The sequence below is a fragment of the Homo sapiens genome, chromosome 12 (assembly GCF_000001405.40).
Source record: "Homo sapiens chromosome 12, GRCh38.p14 Primary Assembly".
NCBI lineage: Eukaryota > Metazoa > Chordata > Mammalia > Primates > Hominidae > Homo > Homo sapiens.
The window spans coordinates 77822494-77842762 of NC_000012.12; the positions used below are offsets into that span (position 1 = coordinate 77822494).

At 36.5% G+C, this 20269-nt stretch overlaps 1 protein-coding gene across 27 annotated transcripts in view; it reads left to right on the plus strand.

Moving 5' to 3' along the window:
• NAV3 (neuron navigator 3) overlaps positions 1-20269 on the plus strand; it is a 641149-nt gene that overhangs the window by 250632 nt on the left and 370248 nt on the right. For 20 of the 27 annotated variants that reach the window (NM_001024383.2, NM_014903.6, XM_017020164.3 and 17 more), the window contains exon 1: positions 8401-9211. The exons of the other annotated variants lie outside the window; for them this stretch is intronic. In NM_001024383.2, the coding sequence (NP_001019554.1) occupies positions 8969-9211 (243 nt within the window). In that variant the 5' untranslated portion in view covers positions 8401-8968. Of the gene's footprint in view, positions 1-8400; positions 9212-20269 lie in introns of those variants that run through there. 27 annotated transcript variants of the gene reach the window in all.

Consider the following 20269-nt stretch of genomic DNA (forward strand, 5'->3'; position numbering starts at 1 on the left):
CTGAAAAAATGATTTCAGTGGGAATACTGGTAAGAAAAATTCTAAAACAGATCTTAGTGTCTTATGTGTTAGAAGCCAGGTCTGGAGAATAGTTTTAACTTCATGCTCAGTATATCTTATCTTATTTTTTATTCTTTAAATTTCCTCAGTGAAGCCAGGCCTGGATAATAAACTTCATGCTCAGTATATCATATCTTATTTTTTATTATTTAAATTTCCTCATTAGTCCTGAAGACAATCTATTCAAATCATTCAAACATTTTGCAACTTGTTAGTACGAGTCATTTATTCTCTGGGGTTTAAGGGAAGTTCTTACCTGGATGAAGGATAATTTTAAAAAATGAAGGTTCTTAAGGTCGAATGTGAAAGTGATAATGCACAATACAATTTCAGAATGGATTGGAAAAAAAAGAACAGTTAATAATTTGACTCTTTACTTCTGCTTCTATTATAGACTAACAGGGATCATATTTACTTCCCTCCACCTTAAGTATAAACTGAACAAAAGCATATAAAGCAATATTATTCAGCCACTGGACAATAGACAATACAGGACAATGGTTCCTGAAAGAAGGGTAATCAAAGGGGAAAGCTTACAACTGTGCTAGTTGACTTCCTGGAGGCAATATCCAGACCACAGAGTAGAGATGGAGAACCCAAATAGAGTTCAGAAGTTTTGCTGACCCTTAGAAATAGAGATCAAAGTTTAGGAAAGCCTCAAGGGCTAAAATTTTGGAGCCAAAGTACCAGAAAAGAAGGAACTGCAGAGAGAGAGAGAGAAAGATAAAATGAGATAGATAAACAGACAGAGAGACACAGAGAGAGATACAAAGAGATAGGAGAGAATGAGGATGAGCACTGGAGACTTACAGAGATGTTTCTTCTAATCTTTGACAGAGGACTTATAGAGGAAACAAGCAAATGCCAGAGAAAGGACCAGCAGAAAGAAGTATGAGAAATAATTGCTAGCACTCACACAAGGTTGGGAATAGTTGACGTTTTCCCCAGCCAGAGTGAAAAGACCACAAGGTGTGTGTTAGATTCACAAAATTGTATTTCTTTACAAATGGTGCAAAATTAGCTCTAGGCAATCAGATCTGTACCTTCTTTAACAATTTATTTAAAATGCTCAAAAGCTACTTAACTATGTGCCATTACAAAATCAAATCCTACTTGAAATCCAGTATACAAGTGTACAATTCAAAATGTCTACCATCTAGTAAAATATTACCAGGCATGTTAAAAAGCAATGTGACATGACTCATATCCAGGAGGGAAAAAAATCCATTAATGGAAACATACTTAAGAAATGGCAGAGGTGATGGAATTAGCAGACAAGTTGTTGTTAAAACAACTATTATAAATATGCTCCATATGTTCAAGAAGGTAGAAAAACAAATGTGATAAGGAGAGACATGGAAGAAAGAAAAGACACCCAAATGGAACTCCTAGAGATGAAAAAGTATAGTGTGTGAATTAAAAATACATGAGACAGGATTACAACAGATTAAATAATATAGAGGTAAAGATTAATGAACTTGGAAACAGTAATAGAAGTTATGTGAATGCAAAATGAAGCACAGAGAGTAAATTTTTTTTTAGACAGAGTCTCACTCTGTCACCAGGCTGGAGTATAGTGGCACAATCTTGGCTGACTGCAACCTCCGCCTCTCGGGTTCAAGTGATTCTCCTGTCTCAGCCTCCCGAGTAGCTGGGACTGCAGGCGCATGCCACCACGCCCAACTAAATTTTTTTTTTTTTTTTTTTTTTTGTATTTTTAGTAGAGACAGGGTTTCACCATGTTGCCCAGGCTGGTCTCAAACTCCTGAGCTCAGGCAATCCATCCGCCTTGGCCTCCCAAAGTGCTGGGATTACAGGCATGCGCCACTGCGCCCGGCCGAGAGTAAGATTTTTAAAGCCTTGAAAAATTAATTGCATTAGTAACCGTGGCATGAAAGCAGGTGGTCCAACATACATAATTGGAGCCCTAGAAGGAAGAGGGAGGTAGAAAATAAGTTTAGAAGAAACTAAAAAGTTTCCAAAATTTGATATAAACTATAAAAAGGTCCAATGAACATAACACAACCTGAACAAAACATTAAAAAAATAAAATTGCTGGCCAGGTGCAGTGGCTAACACCTGTAATCCCAGCACTTTGGGAGGCCGAGGAAGGTGGATTACCTGAAGTCAGGAGTTTGAGACCAGCCTGGCCAATATGGTAAAACCCTGTATCTACTAAAAACACAAAAATTAGCTGGGTGTGGTGGTGTGTGCCTGTAATCCAAGCTACTTGGGAGGCTGAGGCAGCAAAATGGCTTGAACCCAGGAGGCAGGGATTCCCGTGAGCCAAGATTGCACCACTGCACTCCAGCCTGGTGAGAGAACAAGACTCCGTCTCAAAAACAACAACAACAACAACAACAACAACAACAAAGAAAATCAAATAGCTAAAATTAGTGATAAAGAATATCTTATCAGAAGTTGGATAATACAGTCAGGATACATAGAAAGGAACAAAGATCAGACATGTGATGGACTTCTTAGAAACTATGCAAGGGAAAATACAATGGTGTGGCATCTTTACTGAAGAAGAAAAATTGTTAACTAAGAATTTTGTACCCAGAAAATAATTCTTTCAAAAACGGAGGCAAAGCAAACTCTTTTTTAGCCAAACAAAAGCTGAGACAGTTAATTGCCAGCAAATCTGCAATTTGAAAAATGTTATAAAAGGTTGTTTATAAAAGGAAAATGATACCAGATAAAAATTTGCATCTAAGCAAAGGAAAGAAGAGCACCAGAAATGGAAATTATGTGGATAAATATAAAGATTATTCAGTTTTTAATTTTTAAAACAGAATTGATAATAGAACAAAATAATGTGCTATGTTAATATATGTAGAAGAAAACGTATGCTAACAGTAGCACAAGAAAGTGAACAGGAATGTAAAATTAAATACTGTGAGGTTTGTAAATTATATCTAAAGTGGCATAATGTAATTTGAAGGCATATTCTAATAAGTTAATGGTTTATATAGTAAATCCTAGAGGAAACAGAAGAATAAAATGAAATATGTGTCACCTACTAAGAATCCACTTTATAAAGATACAGATAAAGTTGAAAGAACGGAAAGATGACACTAGACACTAATCAAAATCCTTGAAAAAGTAGTTTAGCACAAAGGGACATTTAGGACCCCCACTCACAAGACTGCAAAAGTTTGAGAGATATATGGAGAATCATCTTCTAACAAAAAGCAAGCTGAAGACTAGGACAAAATCTATTCAAATATATATCTAAGATAGGACCTATACCGAAATATATAAATAATTGTTGATAAAACTCAGTAATAATGAGACAAACAAAAAGTGGGCAAGAGTTTTTGACAGATATTTCACCAAAGATGATATATGAATGACAAGCACACACATGAAAAGATAATCAACATCAATAAATTATTAGAAAAATTCAAATTAAAACTGCAATGATACACCCCTACTCCTGAGTAGAATGGCTAAAATGAAAGACTGAAGATATGAAGTATAGAGTATGTGGAGCAACTGGACCTCTCATACATTGCTAGTGGGAGTTCAGAATGGTATGTTTTGGAAAATAGTGTGGCACATGCTTACACAAATATATAGTTATCAAATGACTCAGAGATACCCTTTGAGTTATTTGTCCATGAGAAAATAAAATAAATATCAACATAAGACAGATATAAATATTTATAGGGACAGGCAATGTAGCTCAAGTCTGTAATCCCAGTACGTTGGGAGGCCAAGGCAGGTGGATCACTTGAGGTCAGGAGTTCGAGACCAGCCTAGCCAATATGGTGAAACCCTGTCTCTACTAAAAATACAGATGGTGCACATCTGTAGTCCAAGCTACGCAGGAGGCTGAGGCACGAGAATTGCTAGAACCCAGGAGGCTGAAGTTGTAGTGAGCCGAGATCACACCACTGCACTCCAGCCTGGGTGACAGAGCGTGACTCTGTCCCCCTCCCCCCAAAAAATTATAGAACTTTCCCACACTGGAAACAAATCAAGGGTCCTTTACCAGATAAATGCATAAACGAATTGTGCCATATTCAAACAATGGAATGCATTTGAGCCATAGAAAAGAAAGAACTAATGTTACATATAACACATGGATAAATCTCAAAAGCATTATGCTAAGTGAAAACAGCCAAAAACGAAAATACTGAATGATTTCATTTCTATGAAATTCTAGAAAAGGCAAAACTAGCGTTAGAAGTCACTTCAGACATTGCCTGTGTTGAGAGTGAGACATTATCTACGGTAGGCATGAGAGAACATTTTGAATGAAGGGAATATTCTACATCTTGATAGTGGTACTGGCCACATTGAATTATTTCCTTATATTTGTTGAATTTTTACTTATATGTAAATTCCACTTCAATCAAGCTGTTAAAAATAGGAATGTGAGACCAGGCACAGTGGTTCACGCTTGTAATCCCAGCACTTTGGGAGGCCAAGGCGGGCAGATCACCTGAGATCAGGAGTTCGAGACCAGTCTGGCCAACATGGCGAAACCCTGGCGAAAAGCTGTCGCTACTAAAAATACAAAAATTAGCCAGGCGTAGTGGCAGGCGCCTGTAATCCCAGCTGCTTGGGAGGCTGAGGCATGAGAATCGCTTGAACCCGGGAGGCAGAGGTTGCAGTGAACTGAGATCATGAAATATAGTTACTCCAGCTTAGGGGATAGAGCAAGACTCTGTCTCCAAAAAAAAAAAAAAAAAAAAAAAAAGTAATGTGGCTTTTCTACAATTTTAGCAAATATCAGAGTTGACTATCAAATCATATTTTTCCTTTCAGCAAGCATGATTTTGTGTTGACAGTTGAATATTTTTTCTCTTACTCTTTCTTAAAAATCGTGGTTTGCAAGTTGCCATTTTATGAGATTTTATTACTTATTTTTTTAAATTACTGATATTAAAATTTAGCCAGGTTGGAACTCTCTTATTGCCTAAAACTCCAGCTTAGCTTTAGAAGGTATTTCAAAGGTCATTGCCACTTTTCCTGTTAAATTTGATAGGAATAAAATGACAACCAATTTATTTCATTTTAATTTTCAGGATTTTTTCCTGAGTTCAGTCCTATTAATCCTTATGATCATGACCATATTAGGCTTCATGACTTTATCTTTCTAATTCTCATGACTGTATTTCCTGTAACATTTAGAGCTAACATTTATTGAACACTTACTATGTGGAAAACTATCTTAACAACATCATACATTTACTTCCTTTAATTCTCACAGCACCCCTGTGAAGGAAGAATAATTATTTTTTTACTCCATTTTATAGATGATGAAACTGAGACACAGCAACTTCCAAATTCATATAACTAGGAAGTAAGGAAGCAGAGATTTGCTTTTAAGCAGTCCCACTTTACAGCCCATTGTCTGAACTATCAAACTACAAATCCTATAATTTACAGATCTTAAATTCTAGTTTTTAGAAGAATCAATTCGCTTAAATATGACTCTCAGACCTTTCCCTCTCCCTCGTGATGGTTTCAACATGAGTTTTGCATCCCCTCCAAAAACTCATGTTGAAATTTAGTTGGCATTGTGAATGGTATTAAGAGATGGAGACATTAAAAGGTGAGTAGGCCATGAGAACACTAACTTCATACATGGATTAATGTTATTGTGGAAGTGGGATTATCATGAGAGTATAATCCGTTATAAAAGCGAGCTTGGCCCTTTCTGTCTCTCTTATATGAGTGCTCTCTTGCTCTTCTGCCTTCCACCATGGGTAGATGCAGCAAGAAGACCCTCACCACATATGGGCCCCTCACTCTTATGCTTCCCAGCCTCCAGAACTGTAAGAAGCAAATCTGTTGTTATTTATAAATTACCCAGTTTTAGATATTCTGTTATAGTAGCACAAATGGACTAACACAGTGGGTTCGAGATGAATACAATCATCTATATTTTAGTAAGCACTCAGGTCACCATCACATCTGGTTTGTTGAACTCAGTTTGTAAAACCTCATTTTGAACTTCATCTACAAGGTATCAGTGACCGTAAGCTAATTTTTTACTTTCTCGGTGCCTTTGTCTCCTAGGTCTCAAAACGGTGTGGTTCTTTTAAGATAAATTGAGATGACAACTCCTGGCACAAAGCACATTTTTTATAGTAAGTTAGTTTGGTTTTGTTGCTTTTGGTGGTAGATATTACTGCAAAAAATTAGTTGACAGTGGCTACTAATACCATCTTATATTTCAGTCAGAGTGAAAGATATTGCCTAATATGCAAAAGGTATTTCAAAGTGAAAAGACATCTTATTGAATGTGAATCCTTTTTTTTCAATCTAATTGTTCCAGGAATTACGATACATTCTCCTCCAATGCATGTTTCCAAAATACCAATGAGCTCATTTGTAATTGGCAAACAGGAATTTTGTACTAGTATAATGCAGAAGTTGTGTAGCTTTATATACAATTTATTCTAGGCAAAGGGAAGCAGAATAGTCAGCGTAGAATTATAACCTTGGGTGGGCAAAGAAGCCCTCAGTTTGAATGTTGTATAGTCAGCAGGAGCCCTTTTGGCTCAGTTTTAAGAAAACTAAAAACAAAAACAAAAATGAATGCCTGCATCTGGGGCTTCCTCTTCAAAGGGGCATGCCCCTGGCCTTGTGCAGCTCTTAAATATTTGCAGTTGCCCTGACCCTGTACCCATTTCAATGGCAAGCCTACTGGCTTGGAGTTTGCCTTCCAACCGGATTTCTTCCACCAATTCTGGTTAAAGTGTTGCCAGCATTTATACCCAATTATTTTTTTATGTAATTCTGAGTCACTTCCTTGAGTGGTCCAAATTATTTTCTGAGGTGCCAATATTATTTTTGCTAGCAATATACTCCCAAAGTTGCATATGTTTTGAGTGAACTTCCTAGAATCAATTTTTCCCACAAGTTCTATTATTTAGGTGCTGTTTTGTTTTGCATTGTGAGGATTACAAGTTGCATATGTCTTATTATGAACTAAACCTCATTTTACGAACATGAACCTCTCCAACTCTGTATTACCTTATAGTTTCTGAAAGTTATAATGTGTTGAATGGTTTGCAAATTGCAAAATAACTTACTTCCTCAGAGAGATTATTTCATTTCTTTGATACCACTAGTGTTGTATTTGTTTTGTATTACCCCGCTGTGTAAAGCCCACTTGGGTTACTATTTTTAAAGCCTGCAAGACTTCTAACTTACATTTCCTGTCTTCTATGCTGCATCAGCAGAACATATACTTTTAGTTATTGGCTCTTTCATCTATAAATTACTGCTTCTTAGATAAAAGTACGTAGTGATTTAAAGACCTGGAAACAGTAGGCCAAAGATGACCATTTCTTCACTAAAGAAAGACATTTTCTATAAAAAATGGTTACGATTTAATAATTTCCATGATTCATTGTGTCTATACTAAGTGTCCACCACTCATTTTTCTAAGACCTTTGGTTGCATTATTACTAATTTTTATATTTGGTGTATATAATTGCTCTCTGTATCCATTTTCTGAGTGCAATCAGTTTCAGAACAATAATGCATGGTACATTAGATGTTTTCTTAAAAGTTTACCCCTTGTTTATTTAAAGTTCCTGACATGCTTTAACCAGAAATAGAACATGCTATGATTATATTAAAATAATTCTATGGATGGAAGCATCATCATTCATTCTCACTGAGTATCTGTTTGGACAGTTTTTAGAAGCTTGGGATTTTAAGTTGGACGTCATAAGCTTGAATAACAGTGTTATTTTCAACCATTTTAAAAGACAGGTTTACAAACTAAAATCATACATTCTTTCCCCCTTTCTAGCTTCATCATTTTAGTCAATTTTTTCAGTGTCTCCAAGTCATAGCTGTTCTTTCTATAAAGTGAAGAAAATAAATATGCCTATACTTTGAGTCATTCCAATGATTAAATGTGATAATGCATAAAATGCTTAGCTCCATAACTGCTTTGTAATACATTCCACATAAGTGTTAGCTTTGAATGTTTTTATAATCATGACTTATTAAATTTGGGAACAATGATTACTACATATTTAGTGCCCTGCTTCCTGTGTTTACTCTATTTTCATAACCTAGGCAGCTATGGTCCGATGAATGATTTAACTGCTTTAGCTAGTTGCACTATTGCATGATTTTAGCCTGATTTCATGGGATGCAACAGAATGAACATCGTGGCTCATGGCTGTCAGTAGTGAAAAATAGCTGGAAATCAGACAAACAACTTTATTGCTGAGATTGTTTCCGGGCTAAAAGTTCTTCCAACAGCTGTTTGTTTTGGCCATTAACATGTCCATTCTTTTTATTTTTTCTGAGCTGGGGGAAATACAATTTTCTTTAAAAAGAGAATGCAGGCTGGCTATTTCTGAAATCAGGAAGAACCCCTGTCCTTCCACTGTTGTGGTCTTTTGGCTGCTCTGACAGTTGGACTGAAGGGCTTTTCCTTTTGATTTTTTCCTCTTTTTCAATCTCAAAGTTCAGACTCAGACTGCTTTAGTGAGAAAAAAAAATAAGCAAAACTAAGAGCTCTTTAATCCTAAGAAGGAGCTTTGTAGCAGTTACCTTGAAGAAGAGTTTACTCCCCAAAGGAGTATTTAGTATTACTTAGATACTGAGTCACTGAACAGAGAGAGAGAGAGAGACAGAGAGAGAGAGAGAGAGAGAGAGACAGAGAGAGAGAGAGAGAGAGAGAAAGAGAGAGAGAGAGAGAATGAGAATGAATATGAATCCCAGCCAGCAAGAAAGAAAAGATACTTAACTAAAGATGCAGGGAAGTTTTGCCTCTTCCTGAAAATTATATTATTAGCTTTTTAAAAATCAGGATGACTGCTAGTTTTGTTTAAAGTATTTGTTCTGGAAATACTAAAGTTGGAGTCTACCAGACTGAGGTTAGAAGCATTTTCTTTGGCAGCAAGAAGATAATTTTATAGAAGCCATGCCTGTTCTTGGGGTTGCCTCAAAACTGAGGCAGCCAGCTGTTGGGTCAAAGCCTGTGCATACTGCTCTTCCGATACCAAATCTTGGCACTACTGGGTCACAGCACTGTTCTTCAAGACCTTTGGAACTTACTGAAACAGAGAGCTCCATGCTTTCTTGTCAGCTTGCGTTAAAATCAACCTGTGAATTTGGAGAGAAGAAACCCCTCCAAGGAAAAGCCAAGGAGAAAGAAGACAGCAAGGTTAGTTGCTGAAGTTACCTGCAGACTTGTGTAGCTAAAATGCACATTTCTCTTTAAGTGCACTATAAAACATGTTATGAAATGGGGAGTAGTAGAGGAATACCAGTGTAAGGATGTAAGTAGTTATAATGGCTGAAAAGCTGAATATTTAGCTTATGTAAACACTGTATTCTTAGTTTAGAGTTGTAAAAGTCATGATCAAAATTTTCTGAATATGCATCTATTGTAATCATTTAATACTACTTATTGATGAATGCCTAGTTAGTTCTAGATATTGCTCTATTACTAATAATCATAATCAGTCACAAATGTGAGAAAAAGAGAACCTATTGTCATCCATACTGCAATGTATGAAAATAGGTACTTTCAAAAAGACATTTATTTGTAATAATTCATATAGACACCATCACTTTTCTCTAAATGTCATTTGCATTTCAAAGAATTTCTGCTTGAAAATTTGTATCATAGGCTGCTTAATTCATTGCAGTATGAAGGAAAATGACATACTATTTTCCTTGATACTGCACATTTATATGGACTTTCCCTTGTAAACTGAAACGCTACTCTTTTACTTATTACTGACATCTTTTTCAGTCATTTAATTTATGATATTTTGTGAGTAGTTGCTCATAGCCCTTGGTTTCTAAAGCATACTACAACCGTTTTCTCCAGTCACGCATGCTAGAATGGCACTGAAGCTGCTGAACTTCATGCGGATTCATTTGTACCTTGATAAGCGTCACTTTTGTTTTGTGCATTTTTACTTTTATTGGTACATATTAGGTGTATATATTTATGGGTACATATTGGTGTATATATTTATGTGGTTCATGAGAGATTCTGATACAGGCATACAATGTGTAATAATCATATCAGGGTAAATGGAGTATCTGTTGCCTTAAGCATTTATCATGTCTTTGTGTTGCAAACATTATATATTCTTTTAGTTATTTAAAAATATAGAATAAGTTATTGTTGACAGTAATCATCCTATAGTGCTATCAAATACTAGATCTTATTCATTCTATCTAAATGTATTTTTGTACTCATTAACGATCCACACTCCCCCTACCCCTCGCCACTACCCTTTCCAGCCTCTGGTAACCATCATTCTACTCAGCATCACTTTTTAATGCAGCATTAACTATGATGTCAAGCTTTCCAAAGTCACAGCCTCGTCTCTGGCTTCTTAGGAAATATTTTCATTTTACTCTGCTATCCAAATGTTAGTTTAAAATAATTTAAGGAAAAAACCTTTATACAAAAATCAACTCTAGAAGTGAAAAAGAAAGCCACTCCTTTTTCTACAATGCCCATCCCACCTTCACCTGTTCAGATCCTTTAAGCTTTATCCCAGATCCAACTTTATTCATAAAGTCTTTGCTAGCTATCCCTTCCCCACCATTCCTCCTTCCCAATTCTTTTTCTGTAGAAATGCTTGTGTATTTTAATTATCTGGATAATTTCTTTTAATTATCTGGATAATTTATTTGTATCTCCACTAAGTTGAAAACATATAGAAGGCAGGTCTCGTATCTTATCCTGTGTTCCAGCTCTCTCCCTGTACAATGCTTTATGCATGATAAGAATTAAATAGTAGTTGGATGAATGAATACAGCAATTAATGAATCAATGAATGAATAAATAGTTATTCCGAGAAGGATTCAGTTAAGTTTGTTCATCTTTTGGAATCATTTCGAAACAGGAAATGTTTCCTTGTCCCCCTCACAGGGCATGTGACAGCAGGAGTGGCTTACGTCTTCAATGCCCCGCTGCTGAAACCTCTAGAGGGATCATGCAGATGGGCAGGGTGTGGAGCTTCGACCCTACAGCAGCATCTAGGGTTGAGTATTTACAGCTCCTGAAGCTCCAGTGGGCGTGTGTTACAGTGTGTTCTTTTAGTTTTGCAGTATGAAGGTGGCTTGTGTTAATCAGCTCAGTTAGACCCTCTGCCTTATTGCAAGGGCAGAGGGCTTTCTGTATTCTGGGTTCTCGCCTTGGTTCCGGAAAAATCGAGTCACATGTGGGCTTGGAGGATGAGTGCAAGGTTCTTTTGAATGTTGGAAGTACCTCTCAGCAGATGGATGGGGAGCCATAAGGCGGAAAGGTGATTTTCCTCTGGAGTTGGGCCGCCCAGCAGCCAGACTCTCCTCTGACCTCCCTGGCTAGATTCCCCTCGGGTCCATGTCGTTCTGCAGTCGATGGCCTGCCGGTGTCTGCAGGTGCCTGTCGGTGTCCTCTTCTGCTGGTGTGTTCCTTTCGACGTCCAGCCGCTTATGTGTTCCTTTCGACGTCCAGCCGCTTGTGTGTTCTTCCGCCAGTGTGTTCCTCTCGATGTCCAGCCATTTTTGTCTCTGCCTGCTAAGGTCTCGGGGTTTTTATAGGCACAGAATGGGGAGGTGGTGGGCCAGGGTGGTCTTAGACAATGCAACATTTGGGCATGAAAACATAAATGCCTGTCCTCACTAGGTCCATGGGCACAGGCCCAGGGGTGGAGCCCTAGCCAGGGACCCCATCTTTCTCTACACAGCACTTCCCTGCCCCCTTCCTGTATCAATTTTATGTATAAAACAAGGGGTTGGGAATGGATGATTTGTGGAGTTCTATGTCTAACATAGCATTGTCCATGTGAGAAAAATCAGTTAAAATAAAATATTTTTTATGGGTTTATAGTTCTCAGTTCAAAGTGAACAATTCAGAGTAAAAAGCAGGGAAACATAAATTATCAACAAAATACTAAAAATATTTATCTTTTTGCAAATAATTAAAAGAAATGCCATAAAATTCCATTCTAATCTTCTGTGTATCCACAAGTCTGTATGGATTCAATGGCAAGAATAGAGAGAGACACTGTCTCTGCTGACCATGGCTATCTTTTCTGTAGGTTTAGTGAAACTTCCACTTTGCTAAATGACCTTGGCCTAGGATTTGAGCACTATAAGCACTGTTTTCAATATAATTTTGGTTGATCTCTTTGGTTAGCAAACATATTAATCAAACATCTGATATCCCAATAAGCCTCTGTGGTAAGCAAAGTTGTATTTATAGGGATGTTTTCACCATGCCACTTATCAGATTAAAAATGTTTTCAAACAAATGTAAAGAATGCCTGGTCAGCAGTTCAGAATATTTCTAAATGTTAAAAAGAAGTATATGTAGAGTTATTTTAGCTTTTGGGAAAAAAAAAAAAACCCAGAACTGAAGTAAATAGCAAAATCGAACAAGGTAGTTATATTAGAGAGAATTAGACTTGGCTGCAAAAGCAGAAAAGTCAACATAACAATAGCATAAAGAAGATAGACGTTTATTTCATTTTCATGTAAAGGAAATCTGGAGTTGAGCAGTCCATGTATGGCTGGTAGGGAGACTTCAGGAAGTTGTCAGGGAACCAGGCTCTATTTTGGTTGCCATCATCGATTTGTGGCTCACACCTCATAGTCTTGAGTAGATAATTGCACTCCACTTAATTAAAAAGATACACCCTGTTTTATTAAATATTCTTCCACACTGGCCTCGTTATAGTTCCAAGGCCTTACCTTGCTCCAATGGAGACTGAAAAATGTAGTATTTGTTCTAGGCAGCCATGTGCTCAGCTAAGAATTATGGGTTCAATTTCTAGGAAAAGATACTATTGATAGTACCCACAATAGACGACTGTCATTAAGAAACATTTATGTGGGGTACTCTGCTAGTCCTTGTACCAAACAGTTTTATGATCTGGTTTGAGAGAACAAATTTACATATGACAGTGTCAGAAATGTGTGTTCAGTTGTCACTCCCTTCACCTGTTGTTTCAATTAGTGCAAATGCCATCATTCCAGTCATCTAATCCCGAATTCCTAGACTAATATCTGGTAAAGTACATCACCATTTCACATCCCATAACTTGCCAGAAGTTGAGAATTTTACTTCAGTATTATAGCTTGGGTTTATCTTCTTCTGCAATTGCTCATCCTTTGATGGCCTTTAAAGTTTCCTATCAATTATTTCAGTGATTCCAAATTGGTATCGTCTCCTCCTGTGTCTCTCTACCCACATCCATGCAGCATATTCACCATCCTGCTTAAGAAGAAAACTTTATTTGCTTCTCATATCTTATAATGTCTTCATTCAGGCATTCTTGTCTCCCAGTTGTCACTTTCTCTATTTCCGTCATAGCTCCATCTAGCTGCTACATCCCAGATGTCTTCTTCCTGGGTGTCCCAATTTCTTCAGAATGTTTAGTCCCACTGTCCTTTAACAAATAAATAATACTAGTTCCAGACTCTATGTCATATGCAGTTGGAAAATCCTCCACAATATTTCAAGGGCTTATGTTTTCCTTAGCTATATCTTGTTCTGATTTCTTTCTTATCTCAAATTTTCTAATCTCTCTCATATGGATTTGTTTTTCCATTCTTCCTGGGCATACACCCAAATGAAGAACAGAGTCACTTTGCCTTGGAACCTTTACTTAACATTCTGGAAGTTAAGGTTAAGAAAGAGTGTTCTATTTTGTCACAGCTCAGCAAACAACATCCAATTAAGCATTAAACATCCCTGTTCATGAAAGTTTCTTGGCCATACTTACTGTGGAGCACTTCCTGGCTTTTACATCTCAATCCCCAGTCTCCTTCCAACTTGGTCTGCCACCTTTCTTTTACTCCTATTTTCATTTCCAACTTCTTTCCAGTCTTGGGCTCACTCATTCCTTCCCTCTCAGATTACTTGTGCAAACTCAAGATTCTGTTTTACATTATTATGGAAAGCAATTATTTTTTGTGGACAAGCCTTGTATTTTATAGAAAATTTTTTACTTTATTCTTAAAACATTTCAAAGAAAGTATTATAATCTACATTTACAGAGAAATAAACAGAGAGAGTAGGAGTCATACATAGGATCACACAGTTAACTAGTAACAAAATCCAAAATTTGAATTAAAGTTTGTTCAAAGGAAGACTTTTTTCTATGTTATTTTATTTATACTTTCTCTTAATGATGTAACAGCAATATTTTTTCTGGGTTTACCCTATCATCCAAATCTTACCCACTATTTAAGATTATTTCAAAGGTCAAATAAAAGTATAGACAAATTGGTGTGGATGCTATAAGGGAGGAGAGATTACATCCGCTTGGGGCAATCCAAAGAAATTTATTCAAAGAGTAGAGGCGTTTATGTCCATGGTAGAATGTATGCTTATTTAATTCCTATTCACTCTGCTAGTTAAGGGCAACCATGGTAAGAATTATTTCTTGCTGTTGTGTTCACACAGAGCTGGCACTAATGCTTTGAAAACAGAAAATACACAAAAACAGTAGTTAAAATAAATATTTAAAATAAGCATAAATAATATTGTCATGCAAATGTATTGTATAAATAGTATTGCTAATGTGGACAATTCTTTTGCAGAATGTTAGGGCTGAGAGAAATTGTATATGAATGGAGCATTCAGAAAAGACCGAATTTTTGAAATTTAATGAGCAGATAGGACTCAGATATATAGAGTAAAAACATTCTTTTGAGGAAAAGTTATGTAAACTTTTAAAGTTTAAACTTTAAACTTTAAAAGTTTACATAACTTTTCCTCAAAAGGGAAGTAAACAACTATAAATGAAGCATAATATTTATGGAAAACAGCAGGTAGACAATGGAGAAAGATCTTATGTAAGAATGAGACCAAATGACACTGGTAATGATATTTAGGAGAAATCATTGCAGACAGGTCTAATATTAACCAATGGTTAGAGAATGGCTGTATGTCAGGTACTGGGCCAAACACTTCATAGAGTATTCCATTCAGTCCTCACAATAGCCTTATGGCATAGGAATTATTATTCTTCCCGTTTTACAGATGGAGAAACTGCAGCTTAGAGAGGTTAAATTACTTGCCAATATCTCAATGCGAGAATGTGGTAGAATAGAGATTCAGACTAAGGCTGTATGGTTACAGAAGACATTATTCTTAACCAAGAAACTACACTGCAGCAATAAATACTTCTTTCGGGGTTAGGGAAAGGGAAGGAGGACTACTGATTGACTTAATTAATAGTAGGGTTTGTTTTAGGTATTAAATTAGCATTGTTGGTGAATTGTAAATCAATCAGTGGTTGTGTGAAGTGCCTAGAATTATCAGGAGAAGACAATTAAGTTGACACATGGTCTCTACTGCATTGTTTGAGTAACAGAAATAAATAAAAGGAACCCCATGTTAGAAATATAGCAGCAGATGTCAATAAAGTAGATCACTGGCTCTGGCCTCCAGCTGTTTCCTTCTTGGAGAAGTTGCCTGATTGCTGAGGACTGTCAATGCTCCTGTTGGCTTGCTCACATGGTAGCATTTCCAGAGCTGGCCAGGCCTACAGCTGCATAGGTCAGCTCTTGGGTCCCCAGACGATTCTGCTTTTCTTGCCTGTTTCTGCTGTGCTTGCACATTTAGTTATTTGTATTTAAAGAAACATGATTATTTCTTTTTCTAGTTATAACTCTCCAGGTTTCACAGTTAAACTGTCGTGGTCATTTTAATTGTTTTTGCTTTTGTGGTAACAATGGTCGGAGAATGTTGAAATAATGCTGGAATTTTAACATTTTCTCTACTGGCAGAAGGCTCAGCTTTTCATTATTGTACATTTATTGCTCTTGAGTAACAATTGGTAGAAATGTGGCCATCAGTATTATTGTCTATTATTTTAGTTCATGCTTTACAGTGTCTTTAAAGGCTTATATTTCATGCTTTGAACTGGAAATTATTAAAATTGTTGATGCTAATTACATGATTAAATGTTGCTGAAAATTTCATACAACTTTTTAATTTTTTTGAAAGTTTCAGTATTTTGTGTGTTTTTGATGCCAATTTGCCGAACACATTCTTCTCAGTTTCTTTTTTTCTTGTGTCGTAGACATCTTTCTTTCCTTTAATAAAAACTAAGACTCTAAATATATTGTTTATAGAAACATAAAGCCAATAGATATGTCATTAATTTTCAGGCAAAATAATTGCTACGTGTTTGATATTTATGCTATCAAATCACCAACAATTATCCATATCCAATTTTGAACTTGAAAGATTAAGTGGTATAATTAAAAGAATATTGTATTAGGAGCTCAAATTTTGAATTAAACTTATGCTAGATCCTAAAAGTGTAAATCATTTAAACTCTCTGGACTTCAATCTCTGTATTTGTTAAAAAATGAAATGAAATGAGGATAATAGTTGCTTATAAAACTTTTCTAAGAGTAACATTTTTATCTCCTCCCTTTCTCTTTCTTCCTGATTTTGTTCCATTAGTGATCCCATTTCTCATATTGTCAATGTCTTCATCCCCAATGCATCATTGGACCAAGATGTTTCAGCCTTGGCACCAGCGACATTTAGAACTGATAACTCTGTATTAGGCATAGGGATAGAGTCTGTTATGAGCAGCGTAGGATATTTGGCAGCATGTCTATCTCTATCCACCATGTACCCTCCAGGTTTCACAATTAAACTGTTATGTACCAGTGGCATCCTTTGTATTTGAGAAAGGCAAAATCAAATACAGTTGAGAAATGCTGCTTTAGAATCAGCTTCCAATAATGCTTTGGTCTTTACTAACTTAAATCATAGTAATAACAACAACAATAATAATTTTCTTCACCATATATCAATTGCTCCATATTTCCTATTTCACAGAGACATTTCTTGAAAGCACAGTTTATGTTCATGGTCACTGTCAAGCTTTGCATTTGCTTCACTTTTTTTGATCTCTGACTTTTGGAAAACTCTGACTTTTGGAATACTCCAATATTTACTAGCAAAATGACTTTGGCAAGGCAGTTAATACTTAAGTCTCAGTTTCTTCATCTTTAAAATGAGGATAATCATGTAAATGAGCACAGAATTTTTGTGAAGATTAGAAGAGATATTGCTTATAAACTATATGTCAAAAGAGGGCCTAATACATAGTTGGTGGTCAACACTTATTACCTACTAGTATTATAATATTATAAAAGTATCTGATACTTTCACATAAAAGTGCATAAAATTAATAATTGGTAGTGGAATAGAGGAAGCAGTGATTAATTCTCTATAGATGGGAAAAGTAACATTTCAACCAGGTCTTGAAGGTTAAGCATGGTGGCTCACACCTGTAATCCCAGCACTTTGGGAGGCCAAGGAAAGTGGATCACCTGAGGTCAGGAGTTCATCTAGACCAGCCTGGCCAACATGGTGAAAACCCATCTCTACTAAAAATATAAAAATTAGCCAGGCGTGGTGGCAAGTGCTTGCCATCTCAGCTACTCAGGAGGCTGAGGTATGAGAATCACTTGAACCCAGGAGGTGGAGGTTGTAGTGAGCCGAGATCGCGCCACTGTACTCCAGCCTGGGGGATAGAGTAAGAATCTGTCTAAAAAATAAAAAAATAAAAATAAAGAATGAATTTGATTTAGTCAAGTAAATATGGGAAAAAAGAACATTTTATATGGAATAGCATTTACCAGGCTATGAAATAGTGTGTTGTGTTTATAAACCTACAGGTTACTCACCAATCTTAGGATGTAGGATGCAACCAAGAGAGATGAGGCTTATTCAAGTCAGTGGGAAGATGGGCATTAAATGCCATTGTAAAGAGTTTGGACTTACTCTGTACAGAATGGAAGAAGTATGCTAAATGTCAAAGTGACATGATTAAGTTCATATTTTGAAAGCTGACAACAAAATAAAATATATAAAGAGCCAGTAAATGGGTGGGGGACATTTCCAAAATACAGATGAGGAGAATATGATGGAGCAAGGTTTTCACTAAAGTACCAAGCTCAAGAGCAATGGAAGAGGGACAAATCTAGTAAAACAGGCTATAGATGTTTGGATTAAGCTATTAATCATCAGCAATCCAAAAATTCTATATCTTGGAGGATAAATACATTTTCTTCACTCAGAAATGTACAGTTTAGTTGGAAGTGATAATTTGTGTGAACTGGGTAGCAAGTAGTAGTTAAAATTAAGGATTATTACTAACACTTTTTGAGTGCCTCCCACATGCTGGAAGTTATACCCAAGCTATAACTCTGGTCAAACAGCCGTAGCAACTGATCTCAGAGAGATGCTAGGGCAGAGCTGGAATTCCAACCTAGGTCTATTTGACTTCCCTGTCCTTACTCTCTGAGTCTCCCTCTCTGATGTTTCCTCACAACAATGTATAGACAATCAGCAGTCAAAATCAATGTTATTCTTTACTGTCTTTGTGGATACTGAGTCACATAATAAGAAAACAAAGAAAATAATAAATTCTTACCAGGAGCACTGAATTAATCTTTGACAAATTTCACTTTGGACTCTTCTGTCTCTGCAAATCCCACTGTTACTTCATTTTTCTGTAAGAACTGTTTTACTTTGGATTACTAGTTACTGGGTCCAATACAGAAATTTGATATCTGTGGTAGAGTTCATTAATTGGTTACATGGAGGACCTCCCCTCTGCAAATCATAGAATTATTTGTTAAAATGTGTTGCAATTCTGCCTGGAAAAAAAGTCACTAGATGAAAGAGTCATGTAAAAATGTAACATTTTCCCAGTATAACAACGTGATGCCACCTCCATAAACGAAAAGCAAAAACAAATAAATAAAAACTATGGGCTATCTCTTCTTTTTGCTGTATTTTGATATTGTAAGTAACTTTTCTGTAAAACTGAAAACCTGGAGTGGGCAGGTTCAAAATTTTTCATAATGAAATGTGACCAAGCAAATTTTATATGCAATCAAAATGGCATTGCACTAGTTAAGGTAATGCTAACTTCTATAACAGATAAAACCTAGGTCTCAGTGGCTTAACACAATAGAAATTTATTCTCCACTTTTTTAATGCTCTCATATAGTTAGGGGTTAACAAACTATGACCCAAAGGCCAAATTTGGCCTGGTGCCCAGTTTCCTAAAGTCAAATCTTGTTGGAACACAGCCCTGATGCTGGTTTATGCATTTCCTGTGGCTGCTTTTATCCTATAATGGCAGAGATGAGTAGTCACAATAGAGACTATGTGGCTTGCAAAGACTAACATATATACTAACTGGCCATTTATAGAAAATGGTTGCTGACACATATATATGGTAACAAAGAAACTAGGTTCCCTCCAGTATATGGTTTCATCATCTCACCTCTAGCCAGCCATCAGTGAAAGAGAGAAAATGGAGGATTGCATAAGAGGCTGGGAATTCCACATATCACTTCCACTCTATTTCATTGGTCAGAACTCAGTGAGATGATAATACCTAATTTCAAGAGAGACTAGGAAATATCATGTATCTGTGTACCCAGAAATTACGGGAAATAGTTTGGTAAACTATTAGCCAGCATATAGTTAGCTAGAAACTGGCTATTTAGTCAGATGTTCAAGATTAAGCAAAAATTCACCATTTAAAAAATAGTCTAAGGTGCTCAGATTGTCAATAAGTTGTCCAGAATTACAGGGATATATCTTTTAAAGCAAAACACTGAATAAGAGAAGAACCATAATGACACTCAAGTTACTAAATAAAGATCTTGCAGTTAACCCAGCTTTTAAAAGTAGACCAGGTCCAGATATACACAAATACCATATAAAAAGCTCACTGTGGTCTGTTTCCCACCTTAGGATCTTTCTAGCTATTTTTAATTTCTTCTGTTCCAACCTGCTCATCCAGTCTCACATCCTGAAAGCAGGTCTCTCTCTTGGTCCTGCACCCTTGCTTCAACTTGCTTCAATACCTGTTATTAGCATTATTTTCTTGCTGGACCTGGAAACTCTCTGTCAGAGCTGGGAACCAGAAAGGCCAAGACTGTGTACGATCTGAATTGTAGAAGAGAAGTTTAACAAATCGGGTGAAGTCAAGTATCCAGCAAGAAGGAGGCATTGGCGGGATACTAGATGATGCCAAATAGGTGACTGCATTGTTGTGTAAGGAGGTGTCCTCTCTCTTGGCTTGGAGGTATTGTGAAACTTCTGTCAGCTCATTGCAAAGTGGTTCCAAGGGTCACCGAGTGGGAATGTGTGAATGGATCACTGGAAAACTCAGCATCAAAAGAAGAAGCTCATATTACAATCCTTTCAGACCATGATAAG